This window comes from Homo sapiens, chromosome 17 (assembly GCF_000001405.40).
Source record: "Homo sapiens chromosome 17, GRCh38.p14 Primary Assembly".
Taxonomy (NCBI): Eukaryota; Metazoa; Chordata; class Mammalia; order Primates; family Hominidae; genus Homo; species Homo sapiens.
The window spans coordinates 17,410,009-17,418,138 of NC_000017.11; the positions used below are offsets into that span (position 1 = coordinate 17,410,009).

The 8,130-nt window shown below is 47.2% G+C and overlaps 3 annotated features.

Annotated features, from left to right (window-relative positions):
• Positions 2,387 to 2,681: a silencer, noted in NCBI's record as "tiled region #14253; HepG2 Repressive non-DNase unmatched - State 23:Low, and K562 Repressive non-DNase unmatched - State 22:ReprW". NCBI's record gives its function as "represses a minimal TATA promoter and a strong SV40 promoter by Sharpr-MPRA in HepG2 and K562 cells {active_cell/tissue: HepG2 | K562}" and the evidence as "EXISTENCE:reporter gene assay evidence [ECO:0000049][PMID:27701403]".
• Positions 6,543 to 6,687: an enhancer, noted in NCBI's record as "145 bp enhancer 126 fragment used in the MPRA reporter construct; PK_construct_3855". NCBI's record gives its function as "activates an SV40 promoter by MPRA in HepG2 cells {active_cell/tissue: HepG2}" and the evidence as "EXISTENCE:reporter gene assay evidence [ECO:0000049][PMID:23512712]".
• Positions 6,610 to 6,620: a transcriptional cis regulatory region, noted in NCBI's record as "NFE2L2 motif; enhancer activity is reduced when this motif is scrambled". NCBI's record gives its function as "necessary for full MPRA enhancer 126 activity {active_cell/tissue: HepG2}" and the evidence as "EXISTENCE:site-directed mutagenesis evidence [ECO:0005528][PMID:23512712]".

An 8,130-nucleotide genomic window follows, 5' to 3' on the forward strand; every position in this document is an offset into this window, starting at 1 on the left:
GGAACTGAGAGGTGGCCGGGGCTGCAGCTCATGGATGGAGGTTGCCAGACAGTGGTGGTGTCGGCTTAGAGGTGAGCCTGCTGGCAAGAGCTCCCGGCCACACGGAGATTGAAACGACTTCAGAGCTCTCTTCACTCCTCCCTTCCTCTCTGGTCTCCATGCCAGTGTGGCTAAGGACCATTTCTTGTGCCTGAAGGACATTAGTCAAACTTGTTTTAGTTTGTTCACTCATTCATTCACCATTCATTCATTCGACAGGTACTGAAGCATCTACTATGTGTCACAGCTATTCTAGTTGGAGGCACAGCCATGAACAAAACAGGCAGAAATTGCTGCCAGTTCTAATAGGGAGAGACAAACAAAATAAAGTGTGCGTGTGTGTGTGTGTGTGTGTGTGTGTGTGTGCATGCGCACGCATGTGCATGCAGTGAGAGCTATTCCAGGCTTGTGATGTTGAGGGTCTACATTTTTGGTCAAAAGAGCATTCACAGCTTTCTCTCAGGGGCAATGGATCCAGCTGCTTGCTGAGGTTAAGTCAGCAGCAACTTAACACGGCTTTATTCAGCATGACGATTCTTCACTTGGGTCTGAGCAGCCCCGTGACACATTTTCATTTTCTCCCCTTTCAGCCCCTTTGAATGGAAGTGCTTAGAAACCTGGCATGTCAGAAATACAGGAGGGGCCTTCAAGGACATCCAGCTGAGTGGTTCTCAAACCAGGGCCCTAGGAACCCCCTGGGTCCTTGGGTGGGCGCAGGGGGAGCACTGTGAAGGGAGAGTAACCACTCCTCAGCTTCCCTTCTACCAGAGAAACTCCTTTTCACAAACGGGGCTTCTGTTCGGGATTTTATTTGGAGAAAGGGATTCTGGTGCTAAAAAACAAAGTTGGGTAACCCCTCATTTTACTCTTGTGAGGTAAGGTGGCATCCGGGTAAGAGTCCAGACCTGGCATCAGGCTGCCTGCGCTGGATCTTGGCTCTGCAACTTCCAACTTATTTAGCTCTCCAGATCTCAGCTTCCTCATTTGTAAAACGGGTTTGTAGCAATGACTGCTTCAACAGGGCTTTGGTGAGGGCTGGATAGCGTAACCTGTAGCAGATGCTTACCAAGTCCTGATAAGTAGGCACTAAATCACTCCTATTTACAAATTTTAAATAAAAAAAGAGAAAGAAGTGATACCTGTTCTTAAGAACACTCAAACACAAGAGAATCCAAAAACCATTTTAGAAAATTTCAGCCGGGCATGGTGGCTCACGCCTGTAATCCCAACACTTTGGGAAGCCGAGGCGGGTGGATCACCTTGAGGTCAGGATTTTGAGACCAGCCTGGGCAACATGGTGAAACCCCATGTCTACTAAAAATACAAAAAAAAAAAATTAGCCAGGAGTGGTGGCACATGCCTTTAGTGTCAGGCACTTGGGAGGCTGAGGCAGGAGAATCGCTTGAACCTGGGAAGCAGAGCTTGCAGTGAGCCAAGATCATGCCACGGCACTCCAGCCTGGGTGGCAGAGTGAGACTCCATCTCCAAGTAAAAAAAAGAAAAAAAAGAAAAAAAAGAAAAAAAAATTCCAGCCATACTCCCAAGAGTAACTACAGGTAAAACAGTTTGGTATATGTTCTTCCAGACTGTTCTTCTAGACATTTGCAAATTTGTAATATGTATGCTCAGAAACACTTCTTGCAAAAGGATATTTCACTCTCCATTCTGCTTTGTAATTTGCTTTTTTTCACTTAGTAATATATCATAGGCTAGTTTCTTCACCTGTTCCAGAGCCTGACCACATTCCTCTTCATGGCTGTGTAGCATTCCATCCCAGGGACCTTCTGTCATTTTTAACCAGTCCCCAACTCAAACATATTTAGGTTGTTTCCAAGTTGTTGCTATCACAAACAGTGTTGTAATTAACATATTTGTACCTACTTCTTTGAATTCTTGAGGTTTGCTGCAGGTTAAATTCATAGAAGTGGAATTGCTGAGTCAAAAGGCTTTCCCATTTAACATTTTTATAGGTACTGGCAAACTGCCCTCCAAATAGATTGTACCAATTTATACTCCCATCCATAAAGGAGGAGAGGGGCCTCTCTCCACACCCAGTCAATGTTGGGGATGACATTCTCTCTGTTCCCTGCCCTGTGACAGATGAAAAATGTTGTGCTTTTTTTCTTTTCTTTCTTCTTTTTTTTTTTCCTGAGACAGGGTTTCACTCTGTCACCCAGGCTGGAGTACAGTGGCTCAACCACAGCTTGGCTCACTGCAGCCTCAACCTCCTGGGCTCAGGTGATCCTCCCACCTCAGCCTCCTCAGTTGCTGTGACCACATGCACACAACTTCTGCCTAGCTAATTTTTGTATTTTTTTTTGTAGAGACAGGGTTTTACCATGTTGCCTAGGCTGGCCTCAAACTCCTGGACTTAAGCGATCTGCCTGCCTTAGCCTCTCAAACTGCTGGGATTACAGGCATAAGCCACCGTGCCTGGCCTGTTTTACATTCCTTCCTTCAATGATTCATGATGCTGTCTGCGTGTCCCAGTGTTTCCTGGCCATTCATAGTCTTCTCTTCTGTGAACTGCCTCATCACATCTTTTGTTTTTGAATGAGGAAGCTGAGGTCCAGAGAGGTGTGGAGGTTTATCCAAGTTTGTAAACTCCAGTTCTCCCCACTGTTCCTCTTGCCATCTGTCGTGTTGGTGGCTCAGTCTCCATTCATTTCTCTTTTAATAAAATAGTACCTGTCCGGGGTTGGATTCCCCCACAGACAGACGCCGAGTCAAAGGTTCAAATTCTCCTGGAGGAGAAATCTCGTTAGAGAATGAAGGAAGCAGAACCAGGAGGGGGAAGAAGCTCTGGATGAGATTTTAGGGAAAGTCCTAGCTCAAGCCTGAACCTGGGCCAGCTCTCAGGTATGAATTCCACCTCGCCTGTCCTGCGTGGAGGCAAGGAAGCAGAGCGGTCCTGCTTCCTCACAGCTCAGGCTGGCACAGGAGGCCCCAGGGAGTGCAGAACAGGAACCTAGGCTCTGTGGGAGGGTCTTCTCTGAGGTGACCAGGGGCTCAGGAGTGAGGCACTAAAGTGCATAGTAGCTGGGCACAAGGACATGTTAAAAAGCGATGTGAGGAAGTCTGGGAAGGACACCAACATTGTCCTCTACTGTACCCCCATTTTCTTTGGGGATCCACTCCTCCCTTACCCCAGCCCAGCCTTTTGGGTTTCAGTGGAGCCTCAAGAGAGAGCCCTGCCTGGCTCAAGCAATTAGAACATTCTATCCCTCTGGCCATGACTGATTTAGGGTTGGATCCACAACACAATCTGTGCCAGTGGAAGTCAACCCAGCAACTGTCTGGGGAGAGCGGTACTTGGTTCATTTTTCACTGCTGTATAGCACTCCACTGTGTGACTAAGTCTGGCTTTATGTACCCCCTCACCTGCTGGTAAACATTTGGGTGATTTCCGGTCTTTCCAGCTACGGAAAGTGCTGCTGAGAATTGCTAAGAACATTCTCGTATGCATTGCCCAAAGCATGTGTACACCTGGGAATGAAATTGAATGCAACATTCAACTTGGCAAGACAATGCTCCATTGTTCCCCAAAGTGCTTATAACAATTGACACATCCACCAACTGTGGGTGAGCTGTTTGGAGTTTTCGCCAAACCACGATAATGTCAGATTTCTTACCTTTTGCCAATTTACTGGGTGTAAGAAGATAGCTCACCCTGGTCTTCATTTGCATTTTCCTGATTAATATGTATATTCACCACTCACCACTCAGGTTTCCTGCAAAGTTATTTCTTCCCGATTCCTCTCCCACTGTCCTTTCTCACATAGAAGTCAGCCACTCTTCTTTGTTTAAGCTCTTCCTTCTGTCTGGAAATGCCCCAAGGAAACTTTCCGCCCACGCTTCCACACCTGGTCCTGATGGTACCTCCTCCAGGAAGCCTCCTTTGATTCCCCTGTAAGGGGCAACTCCTCCTCACGGTCCCCGAGGACCAGCACTGCGAGATCCCTGAGGACTGAGTCCTAAGTGTGTTTCCTCTCTCTCCTTCCTACCCCAGCCAGGCTGATCAGGTGACTCCTCAAAGAACAGGCTCAAAATGGTTTCTGTTTCCCTCCCTCCTACTTTGGGTTTACCCCATGCTCGTGACAACAGGACGGGCACAATTATGGATTACAATGTCAATGTGAACCAATAACCCAAAACATTGCCCCCACCCTCATCCCCACAGTGACTTGCCAGAGAAATCCGGGCAGGGCGTTTCACCCCTGCCACCTCCAAAGGAAAGCCGGTGGGCACTCTGCTCACATTTTCTGTGCCTGTCGTAGAGAAGGATGAGCATGCCCATCCATCAGCTTGTCCTGGGAACACCCCAGTAGCGGGAGCGCCTCAGCTTTTCGTCCCTGCTCATCTCCACCCTCCCAAGCTCACCCACAGCCTTAGAAACGGGCGACCGTTCCCTGGCTCTGACTCAGTGTGTGGTGTTTATCTGCCTGCGAAAAACCAGAAATTATAAAAACTCAGAGAAGGCTTCACCTCTGCCAAAAAAGATGATTCCACCTCGAGACACAGCTCTCCCTGGGGCTGTGGGGTTGGCAGCTGCTGTGTTCCCGAGGTTTCAATGAAACTGAATGCCCCAAAACAATGCATGCTGATTTGCAAACCTCAGATGGAACCAAAATTTTCATTTCCCCACCATGCACTACAAAACAAAACAGAGATTTTGGCTCGGATTTTTGGCTCAGCTCCCAAACAGCCCAGTGTGAACCAGAACCCAGGCGTCCCCACGGGGTCTGTGTGTCGGGCTCTGCTTCTCCCTCCGCTCTTCTGTCTCCAGGTCCTGCAGACTGTGGAGGGGACAGGCCATAGGAAAGGATTAAGTCTCCTCATCTACCACTTTATTGTTGATCTAGAACTTTCTAGACCTTGAGGATTTTGACAAAATGTGAATCTCCAATTATTTTGTGCAGCAGACATTTCAGAGGCAGAATGGTGGGAGGCTGTTGAATGGAGGGTGCACTGGATACTTTAGGCAAATTACTCGATTGAGCATAGCCTGTTTCTCCTTTGTAAAGTAGAGAAGACAGTGCGTACTTTCTCCATTTCACTGTTTTCTTCTGTGGATCAAAATGAGACAGCATTAAAGCACTCTGTGGTAGGGGTTGTTCCCAGTCTTAAGACTTCTTGGATCATGAAACATGACACAACATGGATGAAACTTGAAAATATGAAGCTAAGTGAAAGAAGCCAGGCACAAAAGACCACACGTTGCATGATTCCATTTATATGAAATGTCCAGAATAAACAAATTCATAGAGACAGAAAGTAGATTAGTGTTTGCCAGGGGCTGGTGAGAGTGTGGTTAGGGGGGATTGGTGAGTGACAGTTCATGGGTATAGTGTTTCTTTCTGGAGTTGATGAAAATATTCTGAAAGTAGACAGCGGTGCTATATATAGTGGGGATAGGAGTGAATATACTAGAAACCATTGAATGGTACACCTTATTTTTGTTTCATTTATCATTATTATTTTTTTGAGGCAGGGTCTCCCCTTTATCACCCAGGCTGGAGTGCAGTAGCATGATCATGGCCCACTGCAGCCTCAAACTCTTAGCTCAGGTGATCCTTCCACTTCAGCCTCCCAAGCAGCTGGGATCACGGGCATGCACCACTATACTCAGCTAATTTTTAAGTTATTTGTAGAGATGGAGTCTCCTTATGTTGCACAGGCTGGTCTTGAACTCCTGAACTCAAGTGTTCCTTGTGCCTCAGCCTCCCAAAGTGCTGGGATTACAGGTTTGAGCCACTGCACCTGGCCAATGGTACACTTTAAATCAGTGAATTGTATGGACTGTGAATTATATGTCAATAAAGCTGTTATAAAGAAGAAAAGAGCATATGCTCAGATCACTAGATATTTTGAGTTTTCAAGAGAAGCAGTGTTTCAGGATTAGGTTAGCTACCTATAACAGTAACTTCACCATTACAGTGGCTTAAGTAAGAAAGAAGTGCATTTTTACTTATGGAGAAGTCAGGAGGTAGGTAGTTCAGGGCTGGTTTTGTGGCTTCTTAGAGTCTACAGGGACTTAGGTTCTTCTCTCTCCTGTGCCATTCTCAGCCAGTGGCTTCCACTGTCAAGGCCAATTCAGAGTTCAAAATGGCCACTTGTTTTTATCCAGGCAGCAGGAAGAAGAAAGGAGGAAAGAATGAAAGCCACCCCCTAACCCTTGCGCCACCTTCTTCTTTCATCTCATTGGCCAAAACTGAGTCACATGGTCTCACTTTGCCACAAGGGAGGCTGGGAAATGTAGTCTTTTAGTTGGGCACATTGCTGCGCTGTCTAAAAATCAGGATTTGTAATTAAAGAAGCAGGGAAAACATCAGCTTGGTAAACATCAGCATCTGCCACTGCTTTTAGGTGAAATTCTGGTTGGTAATTTGACCCCCCCTTTTTAAAAATACCTTGCAGAACAAACTGAACACACCTGCAGTCTGGACTCACTGCAGGTAGGCCTGCTGGATTGGCTGTGGCTCTGTGGGGAGATGGGAGTGGGAAACCTTGTCCACTATGGCTTTGCAGATGTCAGTGGTTTGAAAGCAGCTATAGTTAAAATAAGGACAGTGCTGAGTCACTGTGAGGTGGTGGAGAGAGAGAACACACAAGTGCTTGGCAAACACAGAGAGCACAAACACACGAAGTCACAGTGTGGCTCTGCCACCGCATGGTTCAGACAAAAGCTCTGGGCTCTGCACAAAGGCTCCACAGCATCCAGGCTGCTGGGCAGACAGGAAGGGGCACAGCAATCTGAGTCATGGCGCCCTTCCTGTTGTGTTCTGCGTTTGCATTTTCTTTGAATATAAACCAAAAGCATTACAAACTATAGATGTAATTTGGACATGAAGGAACAAGGACAAAAAGTCAATAATTACTCACTCTGGACATGACCTTGTCACTGCCTCACCTTCACTTCCGGCAAGGCAAGAGCCATTCACGCTACTAATGACGTCTCCCGGGAAGATCGCATAATAAGCCTTGGTCAGAAAGCTGTATTTTTTGATAGGCAGGAAGCCCATGGACCTTTACTGCAATGTGTTCCGCAGGCTGCTCTAAGTTGCTGAGAAGGCCTCTTGGGGAGAGGAAGCGGGCCTTGGGTAGGGTGGCGTGGCGCTGTCAGATGCATCATGCCTACTCCCCAGGTGCAGGAAGGCTCAGGTGTGCAAGTCCAGAGGGTCGAGGAGTGCTGGGCCAGCCCAAGACAGGCCATAGAGGTTCCAGCATTGTCCTGAGCTCGCAGAGTGACTTTCTTTTCTCATTTTCAAAAGATGAGGCTGTGCGAAACTTCTTTTTGGAGCATCTCCCTTGCTGTCAAACCAAGTCTCTCATCTTCTAGGAGTCAGTCTTTTCATGGTGGCAGATCTTGGAGTTAGACAAGCCTGGCTCAATATACAGCTCCAATTATTTATTGTATCCCAAAATGCAGTGGCTTGAAACAGGCCCATTTGATTAGATATGAATTTGGGTAGGTGGACCTCCATCAGAAGGTCTTTCGGTTCCACATGGCTGTGGTTGGGGCTCATTCAGGGGTACTTACCTAGCCACTGGTGTGGGTCTAGAGGGTACCTGGTGGCTTGGGTGGTGCCTGGAAGACTGGGCTCCTCTGGGGCTCTCCACATGGCCTTCTCAGCCCAGTAGCTGGACTTCTGACATGGCAGCTCAAAGCTCCAAGAGATGGGAAACGGACCCAGAGATGGATTCTTAGTCCACTGCTGTCTTACTCATCCTCAATTTAAAAGAAACACTGGAGGCAGTGTTAAAGATTCATACCCCCAAACAGCCCCAATTTTCCATCCCCAACCTGTATCCATTTCCTTTGAATGTCATATACAGTAGCCTTGACATAAGTAATTCCATCTTAGAAGAAGTCTGAATCTTACATTTCGCAAGGCTCTTTGCCAACAGGGAACAGATGTTTTGCCTGATCAATAAAGATTGCAACCGGCCAGATAAGGACATAACCAAACACACCCTGCCACTGTCAGTCCTCACCAGAGGACTCTGTGGCCATAAAAAGAGCTGGACTTCCACCGCTCATAACAGCTGTCTTGATAAGCGCCTGGCATCTGCCTCTAAAGACTCTGCCTA